Genomic DNA, 15,833 nt, shown 5'->3' on the forward strand with positions numbered 1-15,833 from the left:
AGGGCTATTACCATTTAAACTATAAACCAAATGTGTCGCAAAGTTAGCTTGGCAAAAGCCCAGGAATAATTAAGAAGGGCAGCTTGGAGGTTAAAGGCAAGGTGGGGGTTGGTTAGATCAGATATCTTTCACTGTCATAATTTTCTCACTGTTACAATTTTTGCAAAGGCAATTTCATCTGGGGATGGGAACTGGTTGCGGGGAGTCAGGTGTGGGTGAGGACTTAGTCTTCACTGTTTACATTATTGAATTGGGTTACGTATTCATGCAGCACCTATTTTAAAAGGTAAAAATTTAAGTGATAAAGAGCTATGTGACAGTTATTCCCTGTGACTCACTTTCCTCTTCCTCTTTCTGTTTCTCTCTGTTGCTGTGTCTTTGGTGAAGCAGAGGGTAGAGGACATCATGGGTCAATGAGCTGTGGGTTGGGGCCCAGGACAAGGATAAACATTCCAGATCAAGAGTTGAGTGCTTGTCTCCCACACAGTACTCCCACTCCCTGCTCTGAGGCTACTTGCTGCTATCTTCATTGTGCATGTCAGGCAACGCAAATTCCCCCCATCCCCCATATACTCAGACCTCCAATCATTTGTCAAGTAGCTCATACGATATTATGTCGAGGGCCTGGGGCAGTACTTGCCCATAGCAAGTGCTCAGCTGAAATGCACTGAGGTACATGGCTGGAGCCCTACCCCGATTCTTACTGGATGAAGGCTTCCTCCCTCCCCTTGTTAGGCTGAGCCCCAGGCAACTTTTCCAGAAAGGGTACAGCTGTGGGGACAGGAGGGCATACATGCAGCACCCAGAAATGATTCTATCTTCTCTTCCATCCCTATTAGGCCAATCTTTCAGAATTTATGAAATATCAAGCAATGTAATCAAATGAGGAATCCGTTGCACGCACTGTGGGCCTGAAATACCAAAGGCAGCACAGTGAGGAACAGAAAGGAGGAATGCAATCTGTTTCCAGCAAGTTAAGGTAGAATTGAGCTTGCCTTCCTCCCCCACCTTCTCACTTAGCCTTTCACCAGAAAAATCATGCAATTTCCCCTTCTCTCTAATGTATACTAATGTATGGTATTTGTAGTGGATGAAATTGCCATGCAGGAATTTGGGATGCTGGTATCTGAGGAGGCAGATGTCTTGCGAAAAGGTTACCATGAACCTGTGGGGAGGGGTGTTGCCCACCGCCAGGGATCTACAGCTGAGACTGCTCTGCCTGGGCCTCCCACACGCTGGCTGGCATCTGGCTGGACTGGAACTGTAACCGCCAAATGGGTTCACCTTGCCCGCTGCCTAGACAGAACCAATTTATCAAGACAGGGGAATTACAATAGAGAAAGAGTAATTCACACAGAGCCGGCTGTGTGGGAGTCCAGAATTTTATTATTACTCAAATTAGTCTTCCCGAGCATTCTGGGATCGGATCTTTTAAAGACAACTTGATGGTTGGGCGCGGTGGCTCACACCTGTAATCCCAGCACTTTGGGAGGCCGAGGTGGGTGGATCACCTGAGGTCAGGACTTCGAGACCAGCCTGGCCAACATGGAGAAACCCCATCTCTACTAAAAATACAAAAATAAGCTGGGCGTGGTGACTGCGCCTGCAGTCCCAGCTACTCGGGAGGCTGAGACTGGAGAATCACTTGATCGAGGGAGGCAGAGGTTGCAGTGAGCTGAGATGGCACCACTGCACTCCAGCCTGGGCTACGGAGCAAGACCCTGTCTCAAAAAATAAATAAATAACATAAAGACAACTTGGTGGGTGGGGAGAAGCCAGTGAGCCGGGAGTGCTGATTGGTCAGGTCAGAGATGAAATCGTAGGGAACTGAAGCTGTCCTCTTGTGCTGAGTCAGTTCCTGGGTGGGGGCCACAAGATCAGGTGAGCCAGTTTATCCACCTGGGTGGTGCCAGCTGTGCCAGCTGATCCATCAAGTGCAGGGTCTGCAAAATATCTCAAGCACTGATCTTAGGAGCAGTTTAGGGAGGGTCAGAATCTTGTAGCCTCCAGCTGCATGACTCCTAGACCATAATTTCTAATCTGTGGCTAATCTGTTAGTCCTACAAAGGCAGTCTAGTCCCCAGGCAACAAGGAGGCTTCTTTGGGGAAAGGGCTGTTATCGTCTTTGTTTTAAACTGTAAACTAAGTTCCTCCCCAAATTAGTTCAGCCTATGCCCAGGAATGAACAAGGACAGCTTGACGTTTAGAAGCAAGATGAAGTTGCTTAGGTCGGATCTCTTTCACTGTTTCAGTTACAATTTTGCAATGGCAGTTTCAGAACCACTAACCTTATTTTGGCTCACAAACTTATATATGCTTTTCTGGACTTGCCCTCTCCCTTAGCTATACTTGTTTTTTTCCAAGATACTCGTTTTGACTCAAAAGAAAATTGTAATAGGGAAGAAATCAAATCTTCACCTTACTGCGAGGCAAACAGGAGTTGGAGAGGTTTGAAAGTGTTCTCAATTAGAGGACGGAAAAAAGTGTGACAGGTAGGCCACAGGGAAATGCTTTTCATTTGTTCAGACAGTCACATCAGAAAGAACCAATCTGTTAGAAATACTAAACGGGTATTGGTATGGATTTAGAACAAAGGCTACTGACATAAACATGAGCACGCACATGTCTGCAGTTCTGAGCTGGAAGACACATCTGTTTATTAAGGGCTCAGTCCCCTAGGGGCAGAGATGCCCAGACCGGTTAGACTGGATTGGGAGTCCATTATGGATTGAATCCATTGTGCTTGGGCCACCTGTCTGCTTGTGATAAGAGAGAGGCCCCGGAAGGCGGAAGAATCATCGGTTTCCCTGGTCAGATGAGGCATCAGGGGTGGTTTTTCCAAAGGGAGCTGTGTGGTTTTACTTTCCCCACGTAAGGATTGAAAATCATGTTATTTGCTTCATACTAATATACGTAGGTCTACATATGTGTAAAACCTCATTGAATCTCCTCCGCCAGCCAGTCGGGTGTTAATTGCCATTGACATCATTTCCACTTCACAGATGAGCACACCACAGTCCAGAGAGATTTAGCATCAGGTTATAATGTTTGGTGTTTGGACCCAGATAGTCTGGAGTCAGGAGGCTATGCAGATTAATCCAGTGGGCTCTTTATCACCGAAATAGAGCTCACTCATACATTCCAGAAGTATTTACTGAGATTCTGAGCGCTGGATGCCATTCCTGGTACAGGGTGTTGGGGAGGGAAGATGGGGGACCCAAATGTGAATAATGCTCAGCTCTGGCCTCTGGGAGCCCACCTGCTGCTGCGGAAAACAGCCAATGATAAAATAATGGGTAGGACAGGGAGAGTGGGATGGGATCCCAAGAGATTCTCCTCATTCAGCTGTGGGGTGATGGTATCAAGGAAAGACTTCCTGAGGGAGGTGAATCTCAAAGGATGAAGGGGTTACTGGTGGGCAAAGCACTGGGGATGAACATGCGTGTGGTGGAAGATGCATGTGTGTGTGCGTGTGTGTGTGTGTGTGTGTGAGGTCTGTGTATAGTATGTTAGGTGTGTGGGTGTTTATGTGCGTGTCTCTGAGGAGTATATATGAGGTGTGAGAGACGGGGTGTGTGTGTGGCTATGAAGAAAGTCTATGAGCAAATCTGTATAGCCAGTATAAAGACTTGAAATGTACTAAACGCATAGACATGATAAATATTTGGGTGCTGGAAACCCTAAATGCCCTGACTTATCATTACCGACTATCCATGTAACAAAATTTCACATGTACCCTGTAAATACATTCAAATATAATGCATCAAATCAATCAATCAATAATAGAAGGGTTGTAAAAAAGCAGGGTTCAGGAGCTTGATTGTGGAGAAGCAGGCTGTACTGTGACATTAACTTTCGTGTGAAACTCGTATCAGGAAGATACAGACAGGGATTTTTTCATCTCTGATAATGACAGCTCTGAGCACCTGGAGGGAGGAAGGCCCTAAAGTAATCTCTGTAAATGAGTAGAGGGCTGAAAAGACAAGCAGAATGAGATAGTTAAAGAGGACGATTTAGCCTTTATTGGGTCCCGAGGTTCTAAAGGGCTAGTTAGGGAGAGCATGCTGAGGCTGTCCTTGCAGCAGACCTGATTCAGGGGAAGCTCCCAAAGTCCAAGGGTCGTGGGCAGCAGGCAAGGTGGCTCTGGTGGCAGCAGTCTTGAATTCAAATCCTGCTCCCTCCACCTGTGTGACAATGTGACCTGGGGTAAGTTGTTTACCATTGTGGAGCCTCACTTTGCTCACCTATGAGGCAAAGGTAAAGGCATGGCTTGCAGGTATGTTAGGAAGATAACACGAACTAAAAATATGTGGACCTAGTGCCTTGTGGGCACTCCGTAGAGCAGCTTTCTTTAGGTTCTTAAGTCAGGGCCATAGGAGGGTGGTTTTTCCCGACACTATCAAATACAGTGTCAAAGCATGATATTCCAACACATTGAGCTTTAAAGATCGAATTGGCTATTATTAGCAATTCATAATCCAGGCAGTGTCCAGTCTCTGAAATAGACTGTCAGGAATGGCAGAACAGTGGATTTTTGTAAGGCACCTGAGCGGGAACGAGGAAAACAGCAAAAAGCAGATTGGTCAACATCAGCTGACTCTGGGTTATTTTCCTTGTATGGGTGAAAGGAGATGGGACTTCCTTAACACTGGCTCAGGTTGACTGGGCTTCTTTTGATTAGTTGCTATGAATCTCCTGGGTTGCGTTTGTTTGTTTGTTTGTTTGTTTTGAAAACTGGCCTGTTTGGGTATTTTTCTGTTTTTTAAAATTTCTGTTTGCTTATGTGGCACTTATCATGAGTGATTGCATTTTGGTTTGGTGTGTTGGGGCTTAATGCAGGTGCTCAGTCCAAAACAATGGCCTCTTATAGATTTTATTTAAGGATAGAATAATACAGAGGAAATCTGCCCAGGCAAACAGAGACAGTATATGAATTGTTATTTAAAGGAGCACCTAAATATCTTGGTTTGAGTGCTTTCTGTTTGTGGTTAGAAAACAATTTCAGAGAGAACTGAATCACAACACTAGAGGCACCATAGGTGGTCTCCAGTGCTCTCTATGAGGGTTAAGACATTCTCAAAAGAAATAAATTTTAATTAACTTTAACTTAAATATATCTAGAAATTTCAAAGGACGGTAGGAGTCCAGAGGCACATTGTAAATTTTAATACATTTTATTTTTTTTATTTATTTTCTTTTCGAGATGGAGTCTCACTCTATATACTAGGCTGGAGTGCAATGGCGTGATCTCGGCTCACTGCAACCTCCACCTCCCAGGTTCAAGTGGTTCTCCTGCCTCAGCCTCCTGAGTAGCTGGGATTACAGGCACCCACCATCATGCCTGGCTAATGTTTGTATTTTTCTAGAGATGGGGTTTCACCATGTTGGCCAGGCTGGTCTTGAACTCCTGACCTCAGGTGATCCTCCCCCCTTGGCCTCCCAAAGTGCTGGGATTACAGGCATGAGCCACTGTGCCCAGACTAAATTTTAATACATTTTAAAGTAAAGATCACACACTTGGACATAGAGTATGGAATGATAGACATTGTAAACTTGGAAGGGAGGGAGGGCTGGAGCCCAGTGAGAGATGAGAAATCACTTAGTGTACATTATTCAGGTGATGGCTACACTAAAAGCCCAGACTTCACCACTAGGCAATATATCCAAGTAACAATAAAAATAAAATAAAATAAAAAGTAAAGATCCACTGTGTCCCCCTCCTCTAAGTCTAAAAAGTGTTAAATAGTTTAGGAATCATTATTCTTTGGCTTTAAGGTAATGCAATTTGAGATGTTTTATGCACAACATGAATGAGAATACCCCTCATTCACCTAAGATATATTTAATACAGATTTCTTAAGAAGAACAGCGTTTCTTCTAACCATTTCTTTGATTTGTTACTTTGAAGTAAGACAGTGAACTAGACTTTCTGGGATGGGGCTGAAATTGGCAAATACTGTGGGAATTTTGGTGTGTTTTAAAAGGCTATTTGAAAATGACGTTTTCTCCCAAAGAAAGAACAGCTTGGAGCATCTTGTATGAATCGTAGCTTGTGCTCTATAATTGCAAGGGTCATGCTAACTAGAAGAGTGACATTGCTTTATAATAGGATGTGCAAGACAATTAATTTAATAGAGAATGAGACTGAGGTATGAGAAACAGTTTGGTATTTCAGCATTCTCAGTTAAACACATTCGCTGGACAAAATTATGAATTGGGCCAAGAAGGTCAAGAAACTGTATTAGTTATCTACTGTTGTGTAACAATTCATTCTGACATTTAGCAGCTTAAAACAACAAACGTTTATTATTTTGTGCAATTTTTGAAAGTCAGAAGTCTGGGTTTAGCTGGGTGGTTCTGGCCCAGTGTGTGTCATGAGATGTAGTTGAGATGTTGATGTCGGCCAGAGCTACAGACATCTGGAGGTCTGCCTGGGGTTGCAAGACCCACTTCTAAACTCATTCAGGTGACTGTTGGCCGGATGCCTCTCCCACCTTACCCCATGGCCCTATCCATAGGGCTGCTCATAACATGGCAACTGGCTAATCCGAGAGCAAGTGATCTGAGAGACAGCCACCAGGACAGAAGCCACCATGCCTTTATAACCTAATCTTGGAAGTGATACACCATCACCTCTGCTGTATTCTACTGTCACACAGACCAGCTCAGCTACTGTGGTTAGGAACTGTAAGAGGGTGTGAATACCAGGAGGTGGGGGGGCCTTTGCTTCTTGGGAGCAAAAAGTGATGGTAGATCACTTTGAAGCTTGGCTGAGTCACTTATTACTTGTGTGGCTTTAGTCAAGTTACTTAAACTCCTTGTGCCTCTGCGTTCTCATTATAAAATAGAAACACTTGTCCTCACCTCTGACTTAATACATGCAGAGCACCTGGAGCAATGCCTGATACAGTGTAAGTATTAATACCATAGAAATGTCAGCTCTTACTTTTAGCTTGCGCCCTGCTGGCCTTACATTAGTTCTTCCCCACCTTGGTTGTTCCTGCCCTTCTTCCTTCCTTTTCTCTTGCAAAAAACCTTATTCTCCTTTACAATGCTTCATTTGCACTGACTGATGACAGAGTGTTTTTTTTTTTTTGAGATGAGTCTTGCTCTGACAGAGTTTTAGTATTATTCCTTCTGAATATATTTTCATATTAACTGAGAATAATATCTTGAACTTAAGGGTGAAGCTGCCAGTTGTATAGGGAAGGGCTTTGGAGAAGTGGTTGGGCTTTTCTTAGCTCCCTGGAATTTGCTCTTTGAAAGAAATACACATATTTGCATATGTCCCATGATGAATATAGTCCTAGGATTTGATAGTTCGTGGTTAAAAGACATTTTAGAAATGTCTTGGAAATACTAAGACTGAAGTTTCTTAAGTCAGTGTATGCTAAACTACACTTATATGTGTATGTGTGTGTGTGTGTGTATGTGTATATATACTCAGTGTATCTTAAATATACATAGTTCCTTATAAAAGAAATAAATGCACATCAGGCCAGGTGCAGTGGCTCACGCCTATAACTCCAGCACTTCGGGAGACCAAGGCCAGTGGATCACTTGAAGTCAGCAGTTTGAGACTAGCCTGGCCAGCATAGTGAAACCCCGTCTCTACAAAAATACAAAAATTAGTCAGGCATGGTGGTGCACACTTGCAATCTCAGCTACTTGGGAGGCTGAGGTTGGGAGGATCGCTTGAACTCGGGAGGCAGAGGTTGGAGTGAGCCGAGATGGTGCTGCTGCACTCCGGCCTGGCCAACAGGGTGAGACTCTGTCCTGAAAAAAAAAAACCAAACAGAAAAGAAATACATGCACATCAAAATTAATAACTTCTATGAACAAAAGGACACAACCAATAGAGTGAAAAGGAAGCCTATGGAATTGGAGAAAATATTTGCAAATCATATTTCTGCTAAGAGGTTAATATTTAGAATATAAGAATGCCTACAAATCGACAACAAAAACAAAACATCCTGATTAAAAATGAGCAGAGGCTGGATGCAGTAGCTCACACCTGTAATCCCAGCACTTTAGGAGGCTGAGGTAAGAGGATCACCTGAGCCTGGGAGGTAAAGGCTGCGATGAGCCATGATTGTGCTACTGCACTCCTCCTGCCTGAGTGTGACAGACAAAGTGAGACCCTGTCTCAAAAAGGAAGGAAGAAAGAAGGATGGAAAGGAAGGAAAAAAGGAGAAGGGAAAGGGAAAAGAAAAGAAAAGAAAAGGAAGGAAGAAAGAAAGAAAGAAAAGAAAGAAAGAAAAAGGCAAAGGACTTGAATAGACTTTTCTCTAAAGATATGCAAATGGCCAAAAAACACATTGAAAGATGTTTAACATCACTAATCATTAGGGAAATTCAAAAAAGCCGCAATGAAATACCACCTTATATCCATTAGGATGGCTGCTATAAAAAACAAAAACTCCAAACAGAAAACAAGTGCTTGTGAGGATGTGGAGAAATTGGAACTCTTGTACATGGTGGGAAGGTAAGATGGTACAGCCTCTATGGAAAACAGTATGGCAATTCCTCAAGAAGATAAAAAATAGAATTAACATACCACCCAGCCATTCTGCTTCTGGGTATGCACCCAGAAGAATTGAAAGCGGGGGCCAGGCACAGTGGCTCCCGCCTGTAATCCCAGCATTTTGGGAGGCCAAGGCAGGTGGATCACTTGGGGTCAGGAGTTCAAGACCAGCCTGGCCAACATGGTGAAACCCTGTCTCTACTAAAAATACAAAAATTAACTGGGCGTGGTGGTAGGCACCTGTGATCCCAGCTACTTGGGAGGCTGCAGCACGAGAATTACTTGAATCTGGGAGGTAGAAGTTGTAGTGAGTAGAGATCATGCCACCGCACTCCAACTTGGGCAACAGTCTCAAAAAAAAAAAAAAAAAAAAAAAAGAATTGAAGGCAGGGTGTCAAAGAGATATTTGCGCATCCATGTTCATAGCAGAATTATTCACAATAGCCAAATGGTAGAAGCAACCCAAATGTCCATTGATGATGAATGTATATTTAAAATGTGGTATATACCCTCAACTATTATTCAGCCTTAAAAAGAAAGGAAATTCTGACACATGCTACAAAATAGATGAATCATGAAGATATTCCACTGAGTTAAGTAAGCCAGTCATAAAAGGACAAATATTGTATGATTCCACTTCTATGAGGTTTCTAGAATAGTCAAATTCATAGAGAAAGCAGGTAGAATGGTGGTTACCAGAAGCTGGGGGAGGGTGAATGGATCGTCGTTAGAATTCCAGTTTTGTAAGATGAAAACAGTTCTGAAGATTGCTTGCATAGCATTATGAACATACTTAACACTACTGAAATGTACACTTACATGTTAAGATGGTAAATTTTACAAGTGTTTTACCACAAGAAAAAATAAAAATAATTTTGTTTTAAAAAAAGAACATCTAGCTCAAGTTAGACAAATTATCAGGAATTGAAATTAATGTTTGTTTTCAAGAATACATGTATATATAGTCTACATATTCTATATATATTTTACACATATATGTAGAAATAAAAAGACAATTTCAGAGAAAAGACTATTTTCTAAATTGTTAGTGATTGCCAAAGCAGAATTTTAAAAATAATTGTTATTGAAAGAGAAATGTGAAGATTTGAATTTGAATTATGAAATATATACTATTTAAGGCAAGAAGCAGAGGATTATTTTACTGAGGCCCACAGTCCCCCAAGAGAAAATTAAAACAGGTAAGGACTACACAGACATAAAATCAGCCCAATTTTCTTAAGAAAAATTTTTCTTAAGGGGAGATATAAATGTTATTTCTTAGTTTTAAGTGAAGAATAAGAAGCATAAGATTTCACACAATGAGTGCGACTATATAAATCCATACTTTCTCCAGCTTACCATTATGAGTAAAGATGAATAAAGAAAGAAAGAAGAACAGGGAGGCCACACTGAAGGCGGATGACATGGACGCACAGGGCTGGGTAAGTTCTGAAGGGCTGATGGAGCTGTTCCTTAAACCTCTTATCAGAGTTTGGAACTCAGCCAGCACCCTAACCAGCACCCTACCCTCAAATGATAAAGGAAGGTCACAGAGACCTCTGCATTCAAGTATTAGGTGGGAACACCTTATCTTTCCTGGCCTCCCTTCAGGTTCTTTGTGCAGACGGAACATTTATCTTATAAAAACTTTGAAGCAAGAATATGTCTCTTTCTTGCCCCCTCCTCCTGTTTTAAGTGCTGTGGACCAAGATAATTTTCCCTTTTTTGTCTTCCATAATATACTGTTTCCTGGCCTCAAAATGGGAACCACTGATTTGATCAGTGGTTTGAAAAGTGACCTGGTTTCTTTCCAGTGGCTGTAATTACTTCTACATGTCCCGTGTTCAGTGCAATTCGGTGACTTCATAGCGTTTCCAGGGAGGATGGCAGCTGTCAGTCCCATGGCCATCTTAAAGGGTTGTTGTAGAGCGAACTCTGACAGCCCTTTGAGATGGTCACGGGTTGTTGCTTCTGTGATATTGTGCTCTCCCTTACCAGGCCTAAGACCTGTAGGCCCCAGGCTCCTGTTAGAAAGATTTGAATGTTTAACACAAGAGGCTTTTCTGTTCTGAAAAACAGCTTGCCCCTGCCCTGATCCCCTTGATCTTTCTTGTTACACACAGGACTGAACAACCCATGGAAATCATGGAAATCACAGCAGGCAATAAACAACAATACCATCTTGTGTTCATGTAATGTTTGCACATACTGTATAACAGTTGTACCACCTTACTTCATATACAATCTCATTTGAGAACAATAGCAACCCAAGTTTGATAGGGCCAGTGTTATTTCCATTTTATAGATAAAGACTGGAAAGGGAGGCTCAACTAGAGCCAAAAAGTTTCAGAAACTTATCTAAGCCCACCCGCTAAGTTAGTTACAGAGTAAGTGCTACAACTCTGAACCCTTGACTCCAAAGCCAAAGAGAAGCAGGAGCCTAAGAGAATTGTGCATGATTTATCTTGCCGATAAAATAGGAGAGTTCCCTGACTTCCCTCACAGGACATGTGGCAGGGGTGTGGCTCATCTGTTCTATTGCCGCCCCTGCTCAAACCCCTTATGGGAGGAGGAGCATACAGATGGGCAGGTGCAGGAGCTGGGGTGCTGGGCTCCAGCCCCATGGCAGCATCCAGGAGTGGGAGCCTGTGACTCCCAAAGTCCAGATGGAAGTGTGTTACAGTGCGCTCTTTTAGCCTTGCTGTCCACAGACAGCTTAAGTGTTAAGCAGCTCAGTGATCCCTCTGCCTTTTTGCAAGGGCACAGGGCCAGTGTGACAGCTTTCTGTATCCCAAGCTCTTGTTCAGCATCCCAGAAGAATTGGGTCACACAAGGACTTGAAGGATGAATGCAGGGGTTTTATTGAGTGGTGGAAGTGGCTCTCAGTGGGATGGATCGGGAGCTGGAAGGGGGATGGAGTGGAAAGATGATCTTCCCCTGAAATTTGGCCATCCAGCAGCTGATTTCCTCTCCAATCATCCACAGCTAAACTCCTCTTGGCCTTCAGACATGTCTTTTCTTCTCTCTGCTGCACTGTTCTGCTCTTCTGTTCATTTGCTTGTCTCCTTCTCTTCTTCTGGGGTCTGGGCTTTATATAGATACAGGATAGGGGGAATGGTGGGCCAAAAGGCAGGTTTGGGCACAAAAGCAGGAATGCCTGTCCTCATTTGGGGCTGTGGGTATTCAGGCTTGAGGGTGGGGGCTTTGCTGGAGAATCGCCCACTTCTGCCCAGTATTTCCCTGTCTCATGTTCATATAACCAACATTAGAAGAGAGGGACAATATGCATCAGAAAAAAGTTCCGTGTCATTAAAAGACCACTTAGCCACTAGGCCTTAAGACCACCAGGTTTGAGGTTGCAACTATTTTCCCCACTCCACGCTGCATGAAACTGGATATATAGGGTCTTCAGTTGCTATGCCAAGTTTTAGGGGTCCTGTATTGTGCTGAGGAACCAGCACCCAAGATCTGAGCCGGGCCTTTTCAAGCCTCGGCAGACCCATTGGTTTCTGGGTGGCATCTCTCCTTTTTTCTCCTAACAGAGACTCCTTAGTGTTTCCTGGTAATTAGGAAAATGTTGAATGGCTTATGAAGTATTTGGTGGTCAATCATGCCTCATAAAATAGAGTTGCCAGGTTTTGCAAATAAAAATACGAGATGCCCACTTAAATTTAAATTTCAGATAAACTGCAAATAAATTTTTAGTAGGATATGTCCCCAATATTATATTTTATCTTGCAGCCTTACTCAAAGATAAATTAGAACACTAAACAGTTTGAGTTGTCTGGTTATGTTTAAGAGCTGCTATGGAAGCCATCTAATATTCTTGTGATTCTGTCCCCAGGGAATACCTCTTACTTTAAAAATGTTAATTTTTTGTCATCTTAACTCTAATAAGCCATTCTTAAGTTTCAGATAATTACATTGAAATTGAAACTCTGATCTCCTTATGAATTCACATTCCAGCGTGTTAAAGGGTTTCTTCTACATCTGAATTAATTGAATATTGGACAGGAGGAGGCTAGTAAATTCATCAAGAGAAATTTAATTTCTTTGTTTACTTGAAACACCTGAGCCCTTAAGCATGGTGTTCTAAATTCACCTAAAGCAAGATCAAAACTTACAGCAGAAAAGGGGAAAAATGAAACTGTGTATTGATGAGATTAAGATGGACAGAGCTGTATGCTGTTTACACAATTAAATGAGGTATATGTGAACATCTCCATGGTAACACGTCATATGGAGGCATTCAGAGTATGGGGAGATCAAAGGTTTGGTTTAATAGAAGGTTTGCATATGGACATTTTTAAAAATTGAAGAAAATTGTAATGTCTATGACAGAAAGTATGAAGGCTAGTGCATACCCAGAGAAATATACCACTTAATATTTGCTCATCAATTGAAACCCGCATTTTTCTAGAAATGCAAGGTTAAGAAAAGTGCAGGAGGATCCCGGCAAGCTAAAAGAAGTACCCATAAGATCAGAGTTTGGCTTTAAAGCCTGGTGTTTTCTGTCAGGTATGCCTGTCAACTCTAGCTCAATTGTACTCATCCTCACTTTACTGTGGTTCATATGGGCAGCTGTGTTTTCTTGCTTTGTGCCAAGCTCTAACCTTATACGTATTGGAGCTTTACATTCGGGCCCACGTTCACTCCAAGTTAGGAAAATGTAGTGGATATTTATTAGCCACAGCAGAGCTCCACTTCTGGGAAGGGAATCAATGAGTTACTGTAGCCATGGAGATAAAATGCTTTGATTGGGCCATCTCCACAGCCACAGGGAATCATTCATTCATCAAAGTCAACAAATATTCATTGACAGTCCTCTGGGTGCTGGGTGCGGCACTATTCTAGGCACTAGGATGTATCTGTTGTCTAGGGAAAAAAACAAACAAACAAAAATCAAAATCCTGGCCAGCGTGGTGGCTCACATCTGTAATCCTAGCACTTTGGGAGACCAAGGTGGGAGGATAGCTTGAGCCCAGGAGTTTGAGACCAGCCTGGGCAACATGGCAAAACCCCATCTCTACAAAAAGTACAACAAATTAGCCAGGCATGGTGGTCTGCACCTGTAGTCCCAGCTACTCAGGAGGCTGAGGTGGGAGGATTGCTTGAGCCTGGGAGGTTGAGGCTACAGTGAGCCGTGATTGCACCACTGCACTCCAGCCTGAGTGACAGAGTGAGACCCTGTCTGAACAAAAAGAAAAAAAAATCAAAATCCCTGCTCTAATGGGAGGATTACATTCTAGTGCGAGGAGACTGACCATCAAGACTGTTCATTTCTTTATTCCACCACAAATATTTATGAAGCTGCTGTGCACCAGGCACTAGGGAATGTGTATATATATATTTACACTATATATATATATTTTTTTTTATTTTTTGTTTTGTTTTGTTTTCAGACCGAGTCTCGCTCTGTTTCCCAGGCTGGAATACAGTGGTGTGATCTCAGTTCACCGTAACCTCTGCCTTCCAGGTTCAGTGATTCTTGTGCTCATGTCTCAGCCTCCTGAATTGCTGGGATTACAGGCACATGCCACCACACCGGCTAATTTTTATATTTTTAGTAGAGATGGTGTTTCACCATGTTGATCAGGCTCGTCTCAAACTTCTGACCTCAAGTGATCCACCCACCTCACCCTCCGAAAGTGTTTAGATTACGGGCTTGAGCCACCGCGCCCGGCCAACACTAGGGTATATTAATAAGCAAAATAGACAATAATCCTTGCCTTCTGGAGCTTACATTATAGTGGGAGGAGCTAGACAGAAATCTTAGCAAATTAGTATGTCAGAAGACAATAAATGCTATGGAAAAAAATAGAGTAGGATAAGGAGAGACAGCGATTTCTTGGGGGTTGAGGGGTACAATTTAAGTGGGTGGGCAGAGAAGCCTCACTGAGGAGACATAAAGACCCTGGGGGAGTGAGGGGCATCCGACTGTCTGGGTCATAATGGTCCTTTGGTTCAGGAACAGCTATGTAATTCAAGCCAGGCCAACCAACGCCTCTCCCTGGGATTTTTCAACCAAAGCGGACTAGAACCCACCATTTTTTCTCTCCCTTCAGGGAGCTGCAGGGAGGAAGCCGGGGGCTGCTAACAGCCATGCCTCTCCTTCAGGAGAAAATGATGATGGAGGAGAGAAAGAACAGGAGACAGGACATGGACATGGAGGTCCTGGGGGCCTGGAGAGCCGGGTTCATGGGGGCCCGGAGCCCACTCTGCCCCTGTCTCTTCAGCAGTTTGATTATGTGAGCCATTTTCCTTTTTTTGTGTCAGCTAACTCCAGTTGGGTGTCTGTGACTTACAGGCAAAGGGGGAGACCACACAGAAGGGAAAGGGAATTTCCAGCCATTCTGGAGCAGCGTATTTGCTGGAGAAAAGTCACCTGAGGCATCCATTCTCCACAGGCTGGTGCCCCACACAGGGAAAGCTGGGCCCATAGGCCCTGCCCAGAGTCATGCTTCCCAGATGTTTGAATATTTAGGGCTTATACATTTTCAGAAGGAAAAACAAAAAGTAAGTTGGGCTGGCCACTTTTTAATTTCATCCAATGAGGATAAGAGAAAATAAATAATCGGTGATCAACTACTTTCACCACCATTTCACAGGAGATGTGCCATGCTCGAACTCCGAAGGTGGAGGGCATGGTTCAGAATAAAGGATAGCGTTGTGAATGGAATAAAATAATGTGATGAAAGCCCCACTTTATTTTCTTGTCTCCCAAAGGACTGGGGAAAGCGCCTCTGAGAGCAGCCCCCATGAACCACTGCAGTGGGCTCAGAACCATTGCCCTGAAGTGCGTGGTGGGACTCAGAACTTTCAGGAAGACACAGGGCCAAAAGGGCCAGACTCCTCTTTCCAAATCCTGATTAGGTGAAGTTGTTTTATTAGACATTAGATCCCCCAAGCAAAAGGATTTTGTAACTAGCAGAGAATTGCCTTGCCTTGGGGAAAATAGACTATTGCTACACCTTCCATGACTGGAAAGAGAGGAACCCAGTGTCTGCTGACCTGGAATATTTGTTCCCCAAGAATTAGCCTTTGAAGAGCTTGCTCCTCTGCCTGTTTGAGGAAGGCAGTACAATCCTCATGAGCTCTATCCAACCTTTCCTGCCAGTCCCCAGGCCTCAGATGCTCCCTAATAGCCATGCTGTGTTACCGCCTTAGAATTTCCCTTTTCTCTAGGACTGTTGTTTTTCTAAGCATTGCCTTGTACTAGTCCAGATGTTGGTGAAGTTTTTCTGTAAAGGACTGGATAGTAAATGTTTTAGGCTTTGTGGGTCACATGGTCTCTATTGCAACAACTCAG

At 43.3% G+C, this 15,833-nt stretch overlaps 3 annotated features.

The window, feature by feature from the left end:
* Positions 443–622: an enhancer, noted in NCBI's record as "active region_24094". NCBI's record gives its function as "activates an Ori minimal core promoter by ATAC-STARR-seq in GM12878 lymphoblastoid cells {active_cell/tissue: GM12878}" and the evidence as "EXISTENCE:reporter gene assay evidence [ECO:0000049][PMID:35858748]".
* Positions 2,589–2,883: an enhancer, noted in NCBI's record as "tiled region #12068; K562 Activating DNase matched - State 5:Enh, and HepG2 Activating non-DNase unmatched - State 21:Repr". NCBI's record gives its function as "activates a minimal TATA promoter and a strong SV40 promoter by Sharpr-MPRA in K562 cells, with weak activation in HepG2 cells {active_cell/tissue: HepG2 | K562}" and the evidence as "EXISTENCE:reporter gene assay evidence [ECO:0000049][PMID:27701403]".
* Positions 6,636–7,295: an enhancer, noted in NCBI's record as "OCT4-NANOG-H3K27ac hESC enhancer chr6:15912456-15913115 (GRCh37/hg19 assembly coordinates)". NCBI's record gives its function as "activates a minimal SCP1, AML or CMV promoter by ChIP-STARR-seq in naive H9 embryonic stem cells {active_cell/tissue: H9 hESC(naive)}" and the evidence as "EXISTENCE:reporter gene assay evidence [ECO:0000049][PMID:30033119]".

This window comes from Homo sapiens, chromosome 6 (genome assembly GCF_000001405.40).
Source record: "Homo sapiens chromosome 6, GRCh38.p14 Primary Assembly".
Taxonomy (NCBI): domain Eukaryota; kingdom Metazoa; phylum Chordata; class Mammalia; order Primates; family Hominidae; genus Homo; species Homo sapiens.